This window comes from Homo sapiens, chromosome 18 (genome assembly GCF_000001405.40).
Source record: "Homo sapiens chromosome 18, GRCh38.p14 Primary Assembly".
Classification (NCBI taxonomy): Eukaryota; Metazoa; Chordata; class Mammalia; order Primates; family Hominidae; genus Homo; species Homo sapiens.
The window spans coordinates 14,202,376-14,224,271 of NC_000018.10; the positions used below are offsets into that span (position 1 = coordinate 14,202,376).

The 21,896-nt window shown below is 38.7% G+C and overlaps 2 pseudogenes across 1 annotated transcript in view; both read left to right on the forward strand.

The window, feature by feature from the left end:
* ANKRD20A5P (ankyrin repeat domain 20 family member A5, pseudogene) overlaps nucleotides 1-21,896 on the forward strand; it is a 47,954-nt pseudogene that overhangs the window by 23,279 nt on the left and 2,779 nt on the right. Inside the window, exons 9-15 of the transcript NR_040113.1 lie at nucleotides 2,773-2,857; nucleotides 5,675-5,703; nucleotides 5,796-5,867; nucleotides 11,838-11,908; nucleotides 15,980-16,143; nucleotides 17,537-17,717; nucleotides 18,889-19,423. The product of NR_040113.1 is annotated as an ankyrin repeat domain 20 family member A5, pseudogene (transcript). The remainder of the gene's footprint in view (nucleotides 1-2,772; nucleotides 2,858-5,674; nucleotides 5,704-5,795; nucleotides 5,868-11,837; nucleotides 11,909-15,979; nucleotides 16,144-17,536; nucleotides 17,718-18,888; nucleotides 19,424-21,896) is intronic.
* On the forward strand, nucleotides 19,633-19,965 carry RHOT1P1 (ras homolog family member T1 pseudogene 1; annotated as a pseudogene).

Here is a 21,896-nt window from a genome sequence, read left to right on the forward strand (position 1 = left end):
CCTGGGAGGCAGAGGTTGCAGTGAGCCAAGATCGCACCATTGCACTCCAGCCTGGGTGACAGAGCAAGACTACATCTTAAAAAATAAAATAACCACTCAAAGTCCTTATATCCTATTCTGAAATTTTGAATGTCAGAAGGTTTTCTATTTAGTTGTTTAAATAATCATTGGAAGCTCCTGCATACTACAGGCTACTGGAGGTCAGTAAACATATTTGTGTGTATCCTGGAGTACCTAGAATACAGTCTTCCATGTAAAAAGCATTTTACTTGTTGTTTTTTGTGATGGGGTTTCACTCTGTCACCCAGGCTGGAGGGCACTGGTGAAATCTTGGCTCACTCCGATCTCCATTTCCTGGGCTCAGGAGATCCTCACACTTCAGCCATCCAAGTAGTTGAAACAATAGAGGTATGTCACCATAGACCTGTGTCACCATGCTCGGCTGAGTTTTGTAGAGACAGGGTTTTGCCTTGTTGCCGAGGCTGGTCTTTAACTGTTGGGCTCAAGTGTTCTGCCCGCCTCAGCCTCTCATAGTGCTGGGGTTACAGGCATGAGACATTCAGCCTTAATAGTTGTTTAATCTGAATAAATAGACAAATGAATTTTTATATAATGGAATGTTATAAGTAATATAATATACCTAATGTATCTAACAATTAAATATTATATTTAAAATATTGCTTACATTTGTATTATTTTTTAATATTTAAGGGCGTATAAGTTTTGATGTGTTATGTTGATAAATTGTGCCATAATTAAAAAGGAAATAAATTAGAAATAGGTCATCAGTAGCAAAGAGGGTTACAATATATTTTCTAGTATCATTGAACTGGAATCTTAACATTGAGATTTTAGATTAACATTTCTTAAGCTTTTTATTAGTCCCAACTCAGGTTCTATTAAATATACCTTTTCAAGCCATACATTACCCTTTATTATTATTATTATTATGTTTTAAGTTCTCGGGTACATGTGCACAACGTGCAGGTTTGTTACATATGTATACATGTTCCATGTTGGTGTGCTGCACCCATTAACTCATCATTTACATTAGACATATCTCCTAATGCTATCCCTTCCCCCTCCCTCCACCCCACAACAGGCCCCTGTGTGTGATGTTCCCCTTCCTGTGTCTAAGTGTTCTCATTGTTCAGTTCCCACCTATGAGTGAGAACATGTGGTGTTTGGTTTTCTGTCCTTGCTCAGAATGATGGTTTCCAGCTTCATCCATGTCCCTACAAAGGACTGAACTCATCCTTTTTTATGGCTGCATAGTATTCCACGATGTATATGTGCCACATTTTCTTAATCCAGTCTGTCATTGTTGGACATTTGGGTTGGTTCCAAGTCTTTGCTATTGTGAATAGTGCTGCAATAAACATACTTGTGCATGTGTCTTTATAGCAGCATGATTTATAATCGTTTGGGTATATACCCAATAATGGGATGACTGGGTCAAATGGCATTTCTAGTTCTAGATCCTTGAGGAATCACCACACTGTCTTCCACAATGGTTGAACTAGTTTACAGTCCCACCAACAGTGTAAAAGTGTTCCTATTTCTCCACATCCTCTCCAGCACCTGTTGTTTCCTGACTTTTTAATGATCGCCATTCTAACTCGTGTGAGATGGTATCTCATTGTGGTTTTGATTTGCATTTCTCTGATGGCAAGTGATGATGAGCATTTTTTCATGTGTCTGCCATACATTACTCTTTAGAATTCTGGTGACCAATTCTTTTTCTGGGTGGAACGTTGATGGAAAGTTCCAGTTTTCTCTCTCTGTTATAATAATGTTCTTTCAGGTAGTGGTAGATGACCATATTTAGTTAACTGAATGTCTTATAGTAATAAACTCTATCACAGAAGTACTTACAAAAAACTAATTGTAGCATAAATATTAATTAGTATTATCAGGGATATGAAAGACCAGAAGGCTCTGTTATAGATCTATTTCCCCATGTACTTTATTGTACTTCATGTTGTTTCTTTTCTTTCTTGGCTTAAGCTCATATTTCATTGACCAATTAGGCTTCTTTTTTGTTTGTATGTCTCTTCATTCTCACATTTTAAATTGATATTTTTGGGGAGTCAGGGTCTTGCTCTGTTGCCCAGGCTGCAGTGTAGTGGCATGATCTTGGCACACTACAGTCTCCACCTCTCAGGCTCAAATGATCCTCCCACATCAGCTTCCCAAGCAGCTGGGACTACAGGCACACACCATCATGCCTGACTCCTTTTGGTATTTTTTGTGTAGAGATGTGTTCTCATTATGTTGCCCAGGCAGGTCTCAAACTCCTGAACTCAAGCAATCCACCCACCTTGGCCTTGCAAAGGGCTGAGATTACAGGTGTGAGCCACCATGCCTGGGCAACATTGAGATTGATTTAAAGAAATTGATTAGGGCTGGGTGTGGTGGTGCACACTGCTTATCTCAACACTTTGGGAGGCAGAAGTCGAAGATTTACTCAAGCCTAGGAGTTTGAGACCAGCCTGGGCAGTATAATGAGGCCTTGTTTCTACAAAGATAACAATAAAAACATTAGCATGGCATGATGGTATGCACCTGTAGTTCCAGCTATTCAGGAAGTTGAGGTGGGAAGATTGCTTGAGGTCAGGAGTTTGAGACCACAGTGAGCCATAATCAGGCCCCTGCATTCTAGCCCTGGGTTGACAGAGTGAGACCCAGTTTCATAAAAAGAGATTGATAAGAAAGTCTTGATGCAACTCATTATAATTTTAAAATGGAAATTAATTCTTGATATTACCTTAGCAGTGTGTCCCCGAGAAAGTGTCAGAGCCTTTACGTGGACCTTCCCATGGAAAAGGAAACAGAATAGTCAATGGAAAAGGAGAAGGTGAGAACCGTATTTTATTTAAAAAGTCATTTGTTGCAGGCTGGGTGCGGTGGCTCACGCCTGTAATCCCAGCACTTTGGGAGGCTGAGGTGGGCAGATCATGAGGTCAGGAGATCGAGACAATCCTGGCTAACATGGTGAAACCCCATCCCTACTAAAAATACAAATAATTTGCCAGGTATGGTGGTGGGCCCCTGTAGTCCCAGCTACTTGGGAGGCTGAGGCAGGAGGATAGTGTGAACCTGGGAGGTGGAGCTTGCAGTAAACGGAGATCACTCCACTGCACTCCAGCCTGGGTGTCAGAGTGAGACTCTGTCTCAAAAAAAAAAAAAAAGTCATTTGATGGAATGTTTCTTTGAAAATATGAGCACTAATAGAGTCTAATAGCTAAAGAAAATGTCCTATTAGCTGTATAATAAGTAAAGGAGAAGTGAAATGGTGATAAGTTGTGTCTCTAACCAAGGGTCAGCAGTTGATTCTATTGGGAGTACCACTAAAGGAGCTGAGTTGTGAGTTCCATTTTAAGATACTCTAAGACCTAAGGCAAGTCAGGAGAGAGGGAAGAGGAAATGAATAAAAGAGAAAGAAAGATGAGGGCAGAGTGTACATGGAATAAATAAAAACACATATGCAGATGTATGTAATAGAGGGTAGTAAAGTCAAATTGATCTGTAGAAAAAGGAAGAACAGGGTGTTAGAAATAGGAAGGAAGATAAAGTGAGCTTCCAGTACCAACATGTGTCAGAGAATTAGAGTAACATTTTCCTACCCTTGCTGTCATCCTCACTACTGGGGAGGCATTAAGGATTGAGGTATTTTACCACACAGACCTGTGTTTTATCTACCATAGATGAACATCACCATAAATGGTCAGCCATGTATGGCTATAATTTGGTTTTAAAGAAAATGTTGTAACCTCATAGGATACTATCATATAGGCTAAATTAACATAATTGAAAAGAATAGTGTTGGGTGATGTATGGAAAGAAATTAACTAGAGAAGGTATTACCTGATTAAAAGTTATTAAAAGCCATATTAACATTATGGCTTATAATGTAGTATTAAATTCAGAGACATAATAGGGAAGAAATTGAGGCTAGGCCAAAAAGGGCAATTAGGGTAAACTAATATGGAATCACATAAAGTGTAGAACAGGGCATTCAGATCGTCATGAATTAGTTGAGGAGCTTCTAGAAACTGCACATTCTGATTTAGCGGGTATGGGAGTCTGCGTTTCTCATGAGTACTCAGGTGATGTTGTTGCTGGTCCTTGGACACAGCTCTGAATAGCAAGGGAATAGCCTTCCTTTAGAGAAATCTGGAAAAAGAACCACTGGAGAGCAATTTGAATAATAACAGAATCCAGGGAAAGCATTAATTTTCTTTTATTTCTGAGCATCATTCTAGCTACAGGGGAAGGAAAATGAGATGAAAAAAGAGAGATTACAGGTGTATACTACTGCTGAATACAGATGAAAAAAGTGGTCACAAGTATCCATAAAAAGCAGTTAGGAAGGGAAGCATCAGGATGACAGATCTAAAAATCCCTTTTTCAAAGGAAGAGGGATTGTGAAAGGACACAGAGGGAAGAAAGAAAGACATTTGCTGGGGTCTTGGGAGTTAAAGCCAAGTAAACTTGAGACAACTCACTTCCAGTTGCTTCAGCATATGCCCAGTCTCACAAAAGAGGTTATTGCTGTGGAGAGTACTGGAGGCAGGAGGGAGTGCTAGAATTGGGGTAAACCACAGCAGCTCATTTCACTTCATAATTGTCAGGCCTCAGAGAGAGAAGTTTCATTGACATGAGTGAATAAGATGTGATTAAGTTGCATATAGATGCTTTGGCTAATTTTTTTTGAGATAGCCAGTTCTTTGATATGATAGCTGCTTTATAAAAGTCCTTTACAGTGTAAGATGATATACCAAACTTAGTTAATTTTAGAAGCAATTGTGTTATAAAATTCATTCTGTGAATACCAAAATTCTCATTTTCAATAGATACTGCACTGATTTTGAAATATAAATGTGTATTCGTGTCTAGCAAGTCTGTGGTAATTCAGTGTTTTCTTTTTTGATAAATATTTTGATATTGGAAGCTTATTCGACATGGTTTATTTGATGTGTTTTATGGACCACCTCACACAAGTGGATCAAGGAGCTCTAACTCAAGGCCAAATGAGGGGATAGGAGAAATGTTGGTGCTGCAGTAGCCCATGTGATCATGGGAAAAATGAGTAGTTTGATTAGCTGTTATTTCATAAGTGTGTATCCTAGCTGATCAATGTAGAACACTTTCTTTGATGAGAGGTGAATCACACATTCACCTGAACTGTCATCCCAACTGTATATTTCCTAAGTGACAAGACAAGGGGAATTTGTTTGTGCTGTGCTGGCAGCAATGCCTCTGATGTGTTGAGTTAAAATACTCTGTACATTCACCATCAGCTTGGACATCGATTCCCTCAGGTTTGATTTGCTCGTCTGTTTAGTGGTCCCTTTTCTTCTCATCAGCCCACATGTTCACGGTGATATCCATGCTTTTCTATTTTAGGTATAGGCATTTGAAACATAATCTCACTACTGAAATGTAGGCTGTGCATTTTAGGAATCCTATATTCCTATTTTCCTCATTAGGTTTCTGTCATGTTGCTGTCCTAGGCAATGAAAAGAAGAAGCCAAGAAGAACCCTCAAAACCTTAAGTAATTATTTTTGTAGCCAGGCATGAGAATTCAGCTCGATAGTAACACTGCATGAATGTTTGGTTGGCCCTGTCATACTTACATATAATTGATGACATATCCCTTTTGCTTTGTAGGGCCTCCTGCAAAACATCCTTCCTTGAAGGTAATTAATTATGTATATTTTTTGAATCACTAACTCCACATTGTATAAAATATATATGATTTATGAATCATTTTCTTTTAAAACCCATTCAGCCTAGCACTGAAATGGAAGATCCTGCTGTGAAAGGAGCAGTACAAAAAAGAATGTACAGACATTGAGAGCAGGTACCTATTCAATACAAATGGAATGCTGGAAATAAGTACATTAAATGATTGGAAGTACTCACATTATTCTTACCCCTAATTCTGTTTGTTCAAAATTGAATGGAAGGCATTGACATAAATGTTATTGTTGGTATCCATATTTGAATAAAAATAAATTTAGAAGCATAAAAAAGATTTTAAAAATGTAAGCTTTAACTCAGATGTTTCTCTTTTAATGTTTTGAAGAGCATGAAGTTTTCAGTATAAAATTTTCATACTTGTCAGGGATTCAAAGCACTGAATTTTGAGACTCTAAGATATTTCCATTGATTTATGTGCTAGTTGGAGTTCTGATCTTTACGTAGAGGAAAGCTTTACTTATTAACGTGTCAGTTTCTGTTTTAACTTTAGAGGCTTTCTGCTAGTGTTACTACACTGATGATCTGAAGCCAATCAGACGTTCTAGTGAGCAAGACTGTGTGTGCATGTGTATGTATGGGTGTGTGTATGTGTGTGTATGTGTGTTTGTGGCATCTTTGACTATTAAAAATGAGGAAAGTAATTATTCATTTATAACTGTTAGACACAGTCTTTTAAAACGGTGATTTTGAGACTTTTTGGTGTTAAGGTTTTTAAAACATGATTGCATAGTGGCTACCAACATCATAAGTTGGTCGTTTTTCATTTCAATGCCCTTTTGAAATCTTTAACTATATTGTGATGCTCAGAAATAATATGCAGAATTTTTTGTGTCCTAAAATGGTATGTGAGTGGTTATACACTTTACATACTATTCTGCCACTTTCTTTGGTGTATTTTGTATTATATTTTCCAGATGTATCCACATTGACATGATTATCTCTGGTTTAATTCATTTTACACTTTTCATTGTATTCCCTTATACCACTTTACCACATTTCATTAGACTCTCCTGTTGCTGATAAATGAAGAAAGAAAGAAAAATAAAAATAATGTCAGATTAAGAGGGCTTTTCTTTAAACAGTTTGTATCTATTAATATTTACTATATGAGAGTTTAAAGTTGAAAAGTTCAGAATACAAGCATGCACCAACCATGTTTGATAAATGTCCTTAGAACTATGACTCGTGAGCCTTTAGCCTATGAAGTTAGGACAATTCATTTCTCTGAAGAAGTTTGCTGTGCTATTCTCAGAAAAGAAAACTGAAAATAGCAAATGATATTGTCTTAGATGACCTCTTGGACATCCTTGAATGAAACTGAAACTCCAGGGATACTTGGATCAAAATTCAGAACTAATGTTTTGAACAATATAGTTTGTGAATGTCCAGTGATCATGAGCCCTTGATGGGGAAATGACCTTTCAAGTTTCACTTTTGCATTTTTTGCTCTTTTCCTTGACTCATCTTAAAAGCTTAAATTCAACCGTTTTATTTTTACAGAAACCAGGAATATAACTTTTAAAATATATGTCTGTCCTGTCTCACGGTGTTGTGTACTCTTCAGATCTTTTGTGAACATAGACTTATATGGGAATGATTATGTTTTTTGTTTGTTTGTTTGTGTTTTTGAGACAGAGTCTTGCTCTGTCACCAAAGCTGGAGTGCAGTGGCTCAGTCTTGGCTCATTACCACCTCTGCCTCTCAGGTTCAAGCAATTCTCCTGCCTCAGCCCCTTGAGTAGCCAATACTACCTGCACATGCTACCATACCCTGCTAATTTTTCTATTTTTAGTAGAGATGGGGTTTCAGCATGTTGGCCAGGCTTCTCTCAAACTCCTGACCTCAGGTGATCTGCCCACCTCGGCTTGCCAATGTGCTGGGATTACAGGCGGGAGCCACTGTGCCAGCTACAAATAAGATTTTTAAGGCTATTATATTTTATACAATTCTTTGGTCTATGTGAATTCTGAAGGTATTCATGCATTGAGGGAAGATTATATCAGTTTAATGAAAGCAGTTTTTAATTTAATGTATATTCATTAAAATTTTTTTTGAAGTTTTTGTCTCTAGTACACAGAAACACACAATAATGTCATGGGTATTTGACCTTAATGTGTTTATGCACAAACTTAGTTATTCAAATATCTTCTTATCCCTGAAGAATCTTAATTACTAATAAACAAATTTCTCATGGAAAACAACATATATAATAGAGATCGTTGAGTGATTGAAAGTAAATTATAGTAAATAACAGAAGCTTAGAACAAGTTAAGTAAACTTGTCTGAGTTAATAGCAATTACAGGACTTTTAAAATACGTTAGACCATGAGGGACTGGTGTGTTTGTGAGGTAGAGGACAACATGGTACTGCTTCAGTGAAGAAAGAACTTTTACAACTTATTACAATTTGTATTACTGTTTACATTCTAATAAATAAAAACTTTATTTTCAGATATTTTAGATTATGTTTCTACTAGTTGAACCATCAATAGTAAGACTTTTCAAAGATTTGGGAAGTTGTGAGTTGACGATAAATATCTGTATCGCCATCCGTGATCAAAAATCAGACAGCAACTACAGACTTTGGACACGTGAACCTCATAGTTAAAGAAAGGATTAATTTTGGAGCTGTGTTTCTATCAGGGAATTATACTCTTCATTACCTGCGTGAATCGCAGTTATTAGAGTAGAGAGAGAGCAAAGAAGGGAAAGAAGCATAGAAAATTTTATTCTAGATTACCTCGGTTGGCTTCATGCTACCATAGTTCTGACTTTTAAAAAGTCATTTTGTGGTCCAATGTACTTTGTGTTTACTCCCCTTATGCAGCCTACCACCAAACAGAATGCTTCTTAGCAAGGCATTTGTATTCTTCCCTTAAGGAAAGCAACATATAAATAACAAAGAGAATGAGGAGAAAGAGTAATTTCATTGAGGTTGTTATTTAACATAAATTTGAGTGTGGGTACCATGATTATATTTAGAATTTTGGGACTGGATGGGAAAACCAGCTACACATCTACAGATTCCCTACTCAAACACAATGTGCCTTTGTTTTATTTTTACATCTCTAATTTTGCAAGTATTCAGTACAACTGTATGCAGTGTCACTAAAAATACCTTCCAAAACCAAATATTAAATAATGCCTATGGCTTTCTGTTTTATAGTGTTGATTTACCCAATACTAATGGGAACCATTGAGCATTTGCCTTGTGGTGTCTCCTCAGCTGTATTCACACATTCCATCACCTTGTCTTAATGGATAATCATGCACTGTGAGTACGGGTTTTCAGAAGAGCTGTGTCATTTAAAGATAACACAGGAGCATCAAATTTAATTCTGCTAGAACACCTGGTCTACTGATTAACTGCAGCTAATATGGGGTCTACTTCACATACAAGTTAAATGCAGTGCCCTTAATCAGTGATATGATGAGGTCAACAGTAATAAATTATGCAATATTTTTCCCCCACCCCTACAGTTTTAATTTCTTTTTCCCCTTATGTCTAGAATTAGCATTTTGTTTTATAAAACATGATGATAATCTTCTAGAGTAGTGATGACAAGCTAGAAATCCAAAGTTTCTTACCTATGCAAATGTCTTGTTTGCTTCTATTTTCTCATGAGCTTGGTAGATCCAGGAAACATAACTTTTAAAACAAAATTCCCATATGTGGCTGGGCGCGGTGGCTCATGCCTGTAATCCCAGCACTTTGGGAGGCTGAGGTGGGTGGATAACCTGAGATTGGGAGTTTGAGACCAGCCTGACCAACATGGAAAAACCCATCTCTACTAAAAACACAAAATTAACTGTTCATGGTGGCAAATACCTGTAATTCCAGCTACTTGGGAGGCTGAGGCAGGAGAATCGCTTGAACCTGGGAAGCAGAGGTTGTGGTGAGCTGAGATCATACCACTGTACTTCAGCCTGGGCAGGAAGAGTGAAATTCCATCTCAAAAAACAACAACAATGACAACAACAACAACCACCACAAAACCCAAATGCATTTCCTTGGCACAGTAAAACTGAAACAGAAAAAGTGTAAAGTAAATACAAGTAACTGAGACAGTTTATTTATATTATCTTACTTCTCATTTGATAAAATTTGTAAAGTAATGAGCAGAGTGTATTTCTCCAGGGACCTGGATATATACATTTATTCATTCAATAAAAATTCATTCTTATAATGGCCACTGATACTTGTATCCTAAACATTTCTGAAAACATCTCCTCAGGCCTGCATCATCTTTGCAACATTGCCATATTTTATCTTTGTTCATTTATTTATATGTCTCAGAATTTTATGCTCCTCACAGTATTTAGAGTTAATTATCTCTAATGTAAATAGATCCATGAACCACTCCTGAATACCTAATGTCCAAACATCTTAAAGCTTTATATAAGGATTTCAGAAACTGACTTCTGGGTTGGGCACGGTGGCTCATGTCTGTGATCCCAGCACTTTGTGAGGCTGAGGCAGATGGATCATTTGAGGTCGGGAGTTCAAGACCAGCCTGGCCAACAAGGTGAAACCCCATCTCTAATAAAATACAAAAAATAGCAGGTGGTGGTGGCACGCACCTGTAATCTCAGCTACTCGGGAGGCTGAGGCAGGAGAATTACTTGAACCCAGGAGATCGGGTTGCAGTGAGCCAAGGTCATGCCACTGTGCTCCAGTCTGGGAGACAGAGTAAGACCTTGTCCCAAAAAAAGAAAAGAAAAGGAAACTGATTTCTGCCCAAATCTCCATCTGTAGCCCTTTCCCCATCTGCCTTTTTCTCTGGAATTACTCAGCTGCTGGTAATTGCCCCCTCACCATTCCTCTTTTGTAGAGAAACACGTACTCTCTTGGAGGCTTCTCTCCCTCTCTTGTTGCTGCCTGGCACGTGCTCACCCTTTCCTGCCCTCTGCCTCACTTAATCTGGCTAACCTCACTCTCTAAGTCTCAGCTCATGCATGATCTTTAGGAAAGCCATCCCTGACAGCTTTTATGTTCCTTCCTTATACCCCAGTGCCTAACACCTAGCAGGAACTCAATAACTAATTATTTAGCAAAATTAAGACTGTTTATACAAAGATGATTCAAAAGATTGTCCTCTACAGTCTAACAGCAAAGGGGATCAACATGTAAAGACATGATGTGCAGTTCAGGTGGTAAAGTGACACTAGAAAAATTGACAAAGTACTAAGGGACCGCAATGAAACAGACACCTGTGTGTGTGGAGAAAGATAGCTAGAATCAAGGAAGACTTCACACAGCATTCTGAGCCTCTTTGTTTTCTTTTTCTGTTGTTGGAGACAAGTTCTTACTCTATCACCCAGGGTGGAGTGCAATGGCGTGATCGAGACTCACTGCAACCTCAAACTCCTGGGCTCGAGGGATCTTCTCACCTAAACTTCTTGAGTAGCTGGGACTACAGGCACATATCACCATACCTGCCAAATTTTTTGTAGAGTCAAGGTTATCTATGGTTCCCAGGCTGGTCTTACACTCTTGGCCTCGAGCAATTCTCCCATTTTGGCCTTCCAAAGTGCTGGGATTACAGATGTGAGCTATTATGTCCAGCCTACTTTCTGAGTCTTAAAAGATGAATATAAATTTTTCAGAATAGCAGGGGAAAACATTTGCGATGTAAAAAATGGGGTGTACACTAATTAAGATATAAACAACAATAATTTTGCAAATTATTAGTAACTGCCAACTCAATTAGTGTCTTGTTAAAAAGATACTGTTATGTACATTGTATGTTTTGACTGTATTTCAAAATTTTGTTTTGTTTCCAACAGTTTTGTTGATTTATGTTGGGTGGAACAATTTGTGAGTGACTCTGAGATTTTGTATGGCTGAACCTGGTGATATCTAGTGTCTCCCCAAGTGGTTTGTTGAAGTTTTGGATAATTAGAAGTATTTCTTAAAGAAGTAAATATTTCAGTAAACATTAAGCTTCATTTAAACCCTCAAAATATAAAATACAAAGAAATGTTATTTTCTATTTATTTTTATAAAGATTATAGTCTTTATCTAACTGTTCTTAGTTCATTTGAACTAAACCAATGAATTTGTCAACAGAACAAGCCTTACCAGTGGCTTCAGAGGAAGAACAGCAAAGGCGTGAAAGAAGTGAAAAGAAGCAACCACAGGTATATGAAAATTTAAGTTTCTTGTTTAATATTAGGTTTTTTTTTTTTGCTTTAGTAACAAAGTGTAGTCCAAATGACATGACCTTTTAGACTATACCTTTAGAATCCAATAGGTCATAATTTTATATTTAATTTTTAAAACATTTTAACCAGTTATGAAACTTAAGATATTCTTACTATCTCTAGTAACTATTCGTTATTCTAGTAATTCTTACTATCTCTAGTAACTCTTAGCTGTTTTTACCCTTGGAATTGAGGCAAGAATTTTTCACAATTATCTTGCTCTTTTATTTGTATAACCTTACTCATAATACAGAAGGTAACATGAAATATTGGGTCATATTACTAAGGAATAGAAATTATGAACAATTTAATAAAGATGGCCACTGAGTTAAACTAGTGTTAAAAGAGTCATCATTGCCAGTGGTTCAAATGTTGCAGTTTTATATTGCTGGTCACCAGTGCCGAGTTTAAAGATTTATTCTCTTTCATGGTCACCAGTTGACTTCTGTGTCTGTGTTCAGGGAGTGAATGGGGTCATAAAAGTCAACCCAGTTGCCTTTTAAGAGAATCCTACCTTGCAGAATGGGACCTTTGGTATCAGGGTACAAACAATAACTTCATTTCAATATAAATACATAGTAAATATTACTAAAATTAAAAAAATCCAAACACTGTCAGTACTGGAACTTAAAATATATTAGAAGTGGATATGAGCAGAAACTCTATCTAGATAAATAACACTATCATAGTATATCATTTGAATTAGAATTTAAAATTTTGCTTCTCTTTCTTATTGGTGTTCAGTTTGGCTCTTAATAATTTAGTGTTTGCCTAGTCTCTAGTTAATCTTCAGAAATATACATGCACTGTAGGGGCTCACTCTTTCTGGCATGCTGAGGTAAAGTCTTTGTAAGAGAGGAAGCTTTTATAATACTACCTATCATCTTTGAATTCATTTCTGGTAGACTTTACACATAATGCATTAAGTTTAGTCCAAACAAACACTGAGAGTTCAGCTTGCCGGTTTATGTTTCTGTCGTATGTTAAGCCAAGGCAAATTATTTTTCACTTTTTAGTTACAATCCCATAATTTAAGAGTGGCAACACACAGATTAAGTTTCACAGTTAAATTTTAATTATTTTCTAATATTTCTTTGTTTATACTTGATTAAAGCTAATTTTAGAACATGCATTCTGACAGAAAAGACATCTGAGAAACAAAACAAGCAAATTTGTTTTCCATTTTGCACCTGCCAAAAAAAAAAAAAAAGTCTCAAGAACCAGAACTGGGTAAGAATTGTGAAAAAGGAATCTATCTGTATATTCACGACTTTCTTTAAAATTCATTACAAACAAGTTCAAGCTGAATATTGGTAAAAGTTTTGAAAACTCCAAAATTACTGCTTGCCCTGAGGAAGAGCTTCTACATAGTAACTCTAAAGAGGGACAAAGGAAAAAGGAGTGCCCTCTAATCTGACGAATCATATCCCTGATTGTGAGGAGAAAAATGCATCTGGAGGGTCTAACTCTGTGGCAGTCCAGGCAGCACCTGAACAGAGGAATCCCATGTCAAATGTCTTTTTATTCCATTCACACTCCAGGTCCCTGAAATACACTTACCAGTCATCTTCTAAGCTTCATTTAAATGAAAATAAATCAGACTATAAAAATGATAACAAACCAGACACATAGCTTGTTTCTAACACAGGTGATGAAAATTTTTGTAATGATACAGAAACTGAAACATTAAGGAACCCAGTAATTGTGATTGAAATGAAAGATTATTAAGAGTTTCACATGCAAATGGCAAAAAATATAAACCCAAATACCACTAATTGGAAATTAGACATTAGGCACTGGCCTCAGTCTAGAGATCCAGAAAGTCTTTTTGATTTGTGGTTTACCCACCTCAAAGAAATGAAGCATATGATTCAGATAGAAAGCCACAGTATTTCTGCTGCTACAGACACTTATAAAAACAGAAAACCAATACAGTGCTTACTCCAGAAGCCACTATATGACAATCCCAGTGCTAATAACTACAAAAGCATGAATCTTGAATTATAAAATGTGGGTTTATTCTTTGCCACATAGTGAGAGAACATCAAAAATATAGCTAGAAGACACAGCAAGATATTCCAAGGTCACCAACATGGCACATGTATACATATGTAACAAACCTGCACATTGTGCACATGTACCAGAACTTAAAGTATAGTAATAGTAAAAAAGAATGAGGTAGCATGTTACCAGTAGAGTTCCTAGCTTTGGAGAAGGAAAGTCCAACTTCAAAAAGACAGAGGTTCACTTGCTGCTTCTTTTTTCTCTTTATCAATTATTTGATTCAGTCAGATTTTCTATTCAAGAAAATCTCGTGTACAGTTACAGTGGGATTATCTAAATGTGTAATTATGTGTCAAAGTAGATTAGTTTTGCTATCTAAATAATGGTTCTGGAGAATGTTCTCATAATGTTTGTTCATTAATCAACCTAAGTCTCCCTATCAGTCTTCCAAGTGGCATATGAGCTGGGAAACTAATTCAGCCATATACCATGTGACCTTCTGAACCAGATCAACATAAAGAAATTGCTAAAGAAATAAGCTCTGGATTCTAGATTCTTTTTTCTGTATTCATTTAGAGATGAATTACATTTATTTAATGATAGAATGGTAATACAATGGGAGGGAAGCAATGACTGCGACAAGCCACAAAAACACGTCTAGCCTTGAGAGTTGCAATGGATATTCCCAGCCAAATGAGTCTGTTTAATGTGTTTTCATGCATGCAAGTTTATCTGCTTAGCTCAAACTGTTTGAACTTATAGTCCCATCATGGTTATTTCCAATATTTTGAAAACAAATATATACTTCCACATATTTTAAAAAATCACCACTCTCCAATATTTCTGTTGAATCAGACCTTACATTATGTTGTTTAATAAAGTATGGTAAGTTTTGGCATGTATGATTTTTATCATGTAAGAAGCATAATTTCTTAGCCAAAAATTTAGCCTTTGACTCTTTAGTAGAAAATTGAGTTCTGTACATTGTGTTCTAAAGATAGACAAAATTCTAGAGATTTTCTTCTTTCAAAGTAAAAGCAGATGAGGCCTTTTTCCACCCTCTGAGGCATTAAATTGCTTTGCTTAAGTTAGACTTTTAATATATCTGACTAATTTGATAAATTTATCTGGTAATTTATGTAATTCAGAAATATGGAATTGTATCATGTTATTTGGTGCCATGAAATGCTAGGGAATGCCACCTCAAGAGCTCTGGATGAAACATTTAATATGTCTTGGTTGGTTTGACTCCCATTATCAGTAGATGATGGGGCTAAAGTAGGTAACTGTACCATATGTTTTGCACCTATAAACTTTTGTGGTAATAGAATGTGAAATCTGGGAAGCATCTCATTTTCCAGAATTCTGCACTAGAAACTCAGCAGTTTCACTCTGCTTCTTGTGTTGTGGCAAACTTTGGTTCCCATAGTTCAGGGAGAACCTTTACTTTTTTGATATCCCAGGATTCAAAAAAAAAAAAAAAAAAAAAGAGAGATAAAAGGCACTGGGGAAAAGAATAGCTTAGTGCAGAAAAGGGAAAACTTCTTTACTGTTCCTGAAGCCCTACAAAGTCACATCCTCTTAATCTGGCTATTTCATGTAAAATCCAGGTGGTAAAGACAGAAGACATATGTTATGCCTGTGTCTTTTTATTTCTCTGTTTCTGCCAGTCAGATAACATAAACATTTATGTCAGATAGCAAAGAGTGGATGGGAATAAAAGCACAAAATGGAGAAGCGGACTTTTTAAAATTTTCCATTTTTTTAATTTTAAAATTCTTCCATTCACTCAAACAGAAATGAGCAGACTTGACAAAAATTTCAATGATAAAATGATGAGTACCTTATAATTATAATAATTATGTATAATGATAAAATTAAAGTAAGCACAAAATACTTTTATCATTAAAATGGTGATAGTTAACCTGAATCAAGTGAAAAAATCAGGGAAAATGTTCTTTTTATTGAATAAAATAATTATTATTCATATTACTTTTATTAAAGGTCATAGAAGGAAATAATACATACAAAAGTGAAAAAATACAACTATCAGAAAATATATGTCATAGTACATTTTCTGCTGCTGCTGACAGATTAACCCAACAAAGAAAGATTGGGAAAACATATCCTCAGCAATTTCCCAAGAAACTGAAGGAAGAGCATGATAGGTAAGTAAGCCTATAGCAGTGTGTTTGTTTTGTTTTGTTTTGTTTGGGTTATTTTTTTTTTTGAGATGGAGTTTCTCTCTTGTTGCCCAAGCTGGAGTGCAATGGTGTGTTCTTGCCTCACTGCAACCTCTGCCTACTGGGTTCAAGTGATTCTCCTGACTCAGCCTCCCTAGTAGCTGAGATTACAGGCATGTGCCACCATGCCTGGCTAATTTTTTGCATTTTTAGTAGAAATGAGGTTTCACCATGTTAACCAGGCTGGTCTGGAACTCCTGACCTCAGGTGTTCTGCCAATCTCAGCCTCCCGAAGTGCTGGGTTTACAGGAGTGAGCCACTGTGCCTGGCCACGTATAGCAATATTTCATAGGAGATAATTGTCGTTGTGCTATAAACTAATTCAAAATTGGACTAATATTCCTTAGGATTAACAAGTTTTATATTTTTACCAGGGATATTTAGCCCTGCCTGGTAATCAGAAAAATGTAAATTAACATAAAATAAGATATATTTTGTAAAGTCATGCTGATATTTAAACAGTAATTACTCGTGTTGGCAAATGTGAGGAAAAAGGCATTCTCATACACTGTTGGTATATGAAATTGGTAAATTAGTTCTGAAAGGTAACTTAGTGCTGTGTATCAAAATTTCAAATAACCTGACATCCCTTTAACTCAACAACTCCACTTCTGGGACTAGATTTCCCAGGAAAACATAACTTGTGTAAACATACACACACTTATTAAGGGCATTAATTATATATTACACATAATGAACAATAGGCTAATAAATATATAAAATATATATAATAAGAAGGTGAATTGAAAGTATTAAGAAATAATTATAAAAAGTGTGGGGTAACAGATGTTAGACTCTTTAGCCTAGTTTTGGATGACAGTCATTTGCAGATATAGTTTTTGTGAGAGACATCTTACTCTGTAAATCATTTGGAGAGACACCCACAATATTTCATAAAGATGAAAATTTATTTCTAGTGAAATTATACACTTGTCAATAAATAGTAACTTTAAAATTTTAGTTGATTGTAAATGACCTTTTCTAATTAGGGAGTAATTATGACTGTGTGATTTGAAAAGGTAATTTTGAACTTGTAACTTTACTGAATTATCTCCAGTATCCTTTTTTATAATATATACTAGAGTGACTAGTAATAAAACCTTTAGCAGAATATTCTTTCCTTACTACTTTTCAAGTATATGCATTCTTTTGAAGATGTTGAAGTGAGAAATTAAATATCTGAGAACTGCAAAGGAAAAATAATCCAGAACATAGAAATCTTATTAGGATAATAAACAACATCTGCAGAGGTAGATAACAGGATGAACTCTTTATTTTTTAACAAAATGAATTTTAAGATAAATGTCTTTATCTGCAGATGCACCTTAAAACAAGAAAATGAAGAAAAAACAAATGTTAATATGCTGCACAAAAAAAATCGAGAAGAATTAGAAAGGAAAGAGAAACAATATAAGAAAGAAGTTGAAGCAAAACAACTTGAACCAACTGTTCAATCACTAGAGATGAAACCAAAGACTGCAAGAAATACTCCAAATCAGGTAAATCAATCTTTGGTAAAAATTCTATATTTTAAACTTTATTTTATCAATGTTACTTATAATATCCACTTGATTTAATATATATTATTTAGGTAAAAAACAAACCAGAAATGTTATCTCATTTTTAAAAATGAGTGATGACACTTACAGGTACAATTATTAATATTTACTATAAATCTTGGCATCCACATAGGATATTATTTTATTACAAAGAGCTTTTGAAAACAATAATATGCCATAATATATACTTAGTGATAACCTATTGATAAAGATTTTGTTCCCAGTAAAATTGTTCCATGTACTTTCCCCTATTTCATATTGATTACTGTACCTAATATTATAAAGAGGAGACAGAAATTATTGCAATCACAAATAACTCATGATAATCTTAGAAGAGCTCTATAAATTTTATCTTATTTACCACTGGTGTTTTGAAATAAAAGTTTTCTTTCATATGGATATATTTACACCACAGAAGTAATTGTGATCTGTTGGAGAACTAGAAGTAGAGTCAGAAGTCCTGGGGAAAATCCTGTAGCTTGCTTATATTTTTAACCTTTCTTTCTCAAAATTATGGTAACTAGATGAGTTCATCAATGAATGTATATAGGAGTGACTAGTATAATGTCTAGATTTATGATTTAGTAAATGTAATTCTTATAACTGACTATAAAAGTGTTAAAAGAGTCAAATTGAAATAGAATGTTATCAGTGAACTGTAATAACTCTGGGAAATTTTATCTGTCCAAATATGTGTGAACTAAGGTTCTTACTATAGGGTGGTGTATGGGTTAGATATCAAAGTGTAAATGCAATTTTTTGATATATTTTAATTTAGTCAAATTTGTTAATGCTTTAATTTATACTTTTGAGTTTGTTGTAATTCAGGGAAAGGCTTTTCCAATTCTGAAATTCTTAAAAATTCTCTGGTGTGCATGTGTGTGTGTGTGTTTACTTTTATAAATTCATTGACTTTAAATAAATTTCTGAACTTTTTGGAATTTATGCTCTATAAGGTTCAAAATTTTGCTTCAACTTTTTCTCCAGTTGGATATCCACTTACAGTAACCTTTTTAGTGCATGGATGTGCAGGTTATTCTTTAACTTCAGAGGTAATCATGATATGTTATTTTATTGAGTACTAGCTAAAACTTTCTTTTGTATTATTTAGGATTTTCATAATCATGAAGAAGTGAAAGATCTGATGGATGAAAATTGCATTTTGAAGACAGATATTGCTATACTCAGACAGGAAATATGCACAATGAAAAATGACAACCTGGAAAAAGAAAATAAATATCTTAAGGACATTAAAATTGCTAAAGAAACAAATGCTGCCCTTGAAAAGTGTATAAAACTCAATGAGGAAATGATAACAAAAACAGCATTCTGGTATCAACAAGAGCTTAATGATCTCAAAGCTGAGAATACAAGGCTCAATTCTGAACTGTTGAAGGAAAAAGAAAGCAAGAAAAAACTGGAAGCTGAAATTGAATCTTATCAGTCTAGACTGGCTGCTGCTATATAAGTAAACACAGTGAAAATGTGAAAACAGAAAGAAACCTAAAACTTGCTTTAGAGAGAACACAAGATATTTCTGAGCAAGTAAAAATGAGTTCTGATATTTCCGAAATAGAAGATAAGAATTAGTTTCTTACTGAACAACTTTCTAAAATGCAAATTAAATTCAATACCTTAAAAGATAAGTTCTGGCCGCTGCCGCTGCAGCCTGCTGGGCTGGAGGAAGTGGAGCTGGTGCCGTCCCTGCTCTCTTGCTGGGAAGCAACTGAGGGGGCGGCGCGGCAGGCCCCGGCAGCCGAAGAGGCTGGCAGGTGGCACTGTGGGGTGGGTGCTCCTGGTGAAAGGAGTCCACTGCATGCGTGTGGGTGGAGTCCGGCCCCCGAGAGCCACCGACATGAAGAAAGACGTGCAGATCCTGGTGGTGGGAGAACCTAGAGTTGGGAAGACATCATTGATTATGTCTCTGGTCAGTGAAGAATTTCCAGAAGAGGTTCCTCCCCGGGCAGAAGAAATCACCATTCCAGCTGATGTCACCCCAGAGAGAGTTCCAACACACATTGTAGATTACTCAGAAGCAGAACAGAGTAATGAACAACTTCATCAAGAAATATCTCAGGCTAATGTCGTCTGTATAGTGTATGCCGTTAACAACAAGCATTCTATTGATAAGGTAACAAGTCAATGGATTCCTCTCATAAATGAAAGAACAGACAAAGACAGCAGGCTGGAGTGCAGTGGCGGGATCTCGGCTCGCTACAACCTTCACCTCCCAGCCGCCTGCCTTGGCCTCCCAAAGTGCTAAGATTACAGCCTCTGCCCGCCCGCCACCCCATCTAGGAAGTGAGCAGCGTCTCTGCCTGGCTGCCCCGTCTGGGAAGTGAGGAGTGCCTCTGCCCACCCACCACCCCGTCTGGGATGTGAGGAGCGCCTCTGCCCAGCCACCCCATCTGGGAAGTGAGGAGCGCCTCTGCCCAGCCGCCACCCCGTCTAGGAAGTGAGGATCGTCTCTGCCTGGCCGCCCATTGTCTGGGATGTGAGGAGCCCCTCTGCCCAGCCACCCTGAATGGGAAGTGAGGAGCACCTCTGCCTGGCCGCCCCATCTGGGAAGTAAGGAGCACCTCTGCCCGGTTGCCACCCCATCTAGGAAGTGAGGAGCGTCTCTGCCTGACCGCCCATCCTCTGGGATGTGAGGAGCACCTCTGCCTGGCTGCCCCATCTGGGATGTGAGGAGCACCTCTGCCCTACTGACCATCGTCTGGGAAGTGAGGAGTGCCTCTGCCCGGCCGCCCCATCTGGGAGGTGAGGAGCGCCTCTGCCTGGCTGCCCTGCATCTGGGAGGAAGTGAGGAGTGCCTCTGCCCGGCTGCCCCGTCTGGGAAGTGGGGAGCGCCTCTGTCCAGCCGCCCCATCTGGGAAGTGAGGAGTGCCTCTGCCTGGCCACCACCCCATCTAGGAAGTGAGGAGTGCCTCTGCCCGGCCGCCCTGTCTGGGATTTGGGGAGCGCCTCTGCCCAGCCGCCCCATCTGGGAAGTGAGGAGTGCCTCTGCCCAGCCGCCCTGTCTGGGAAGTGAGGAGTGCCTCTGCCCAGCTGCCCTGTCTGGGAAGTGAGGAGTGCCTCTGCCCGGCCGCCACCCTGTCTAGGAAGTGAGGAGTGCCTCTGCCCGGCCGCCACCCTGTCTAGGAAGTGAGGAGTGCCTCTGCCCAGCCGCCCCATCTGGGATGTGGGGAGTGCCTCTGCCAGGCTGCCCCGCCTGGAAGGTGAGGAGCGTCTCTGCCCGACTGCCCCATCTGGGAATTGAGGAGCGCCTCTGCCCGGCCGCCCCGTCTGGGAGGTGAGGAGCGCCTCTGCCTGGCCGCCACCCCGTCTGAGAGGTGAGGAGTGCCTCTGCCTGGCAGCCCCATCTGGGAACTGAGGAGCGCCTCTGCCCAGCCGCCACCCCATCTGGGAAGTGGGGAGCACCTCTGCCCGGCTGCCCTGCCTAGGAAGTGGGGAGCGCTTCTGCCCGGCCACCCCGTCTGGGATGTGAGGAGTGCCTCTGCCCAGCCGCCCTGTCTGGGATGTGAGGAGCGTCTCTGCCCAGCCGCCACCCCATCTGGGAAGTGGGGAGCGCCTCTGCCTGGCCGCCCCATCTGGGAAGTAGGGAGCGCCTCTGCCCGGCCACCCCATCTGGGAAGTGAGGAGCGCTTCTGCCCGGCCGCCCCATCTGGGAAGTGAGGAGCACCTCTGCCTGGCCGCCCTGTCTAGGAGGAAGTGAGGAGCGCCTCTGCCCGGTCACCCTGTCTGGGAGGTGAGGAGTGCCTCTGCCCGGCCGCCCCATCTGGGATGTGGGGAGTGCCTCTGCCTGGCCGCCCATCATCTGGGAAGTGGGGAGCACCTCTGCCCGGCTGCCCCATCTGGGAAGTGAGGAGTGCCTCTCCCTGGCCACCCCATCTGGGAAGTGGGGAGCGCCTCTGCCCGGCCACCCCGTCTGGGAAGTGAGGAGCGCCTCTGCCCGGCCACCCCGTCTGGGAAGTGGGGAGTGCCTCTGCCCGGCCACCCCATCTGGGAAGTGAGGAGCACCTCTGCCCAGCTGCCCCACCTGGGAAGTGGGGAGCACCTCTGCCCGGCCGCCCATAGTCTGGGAAGTGAGGAGTGCCTCTGCCCGGCCGCCCCATCTGG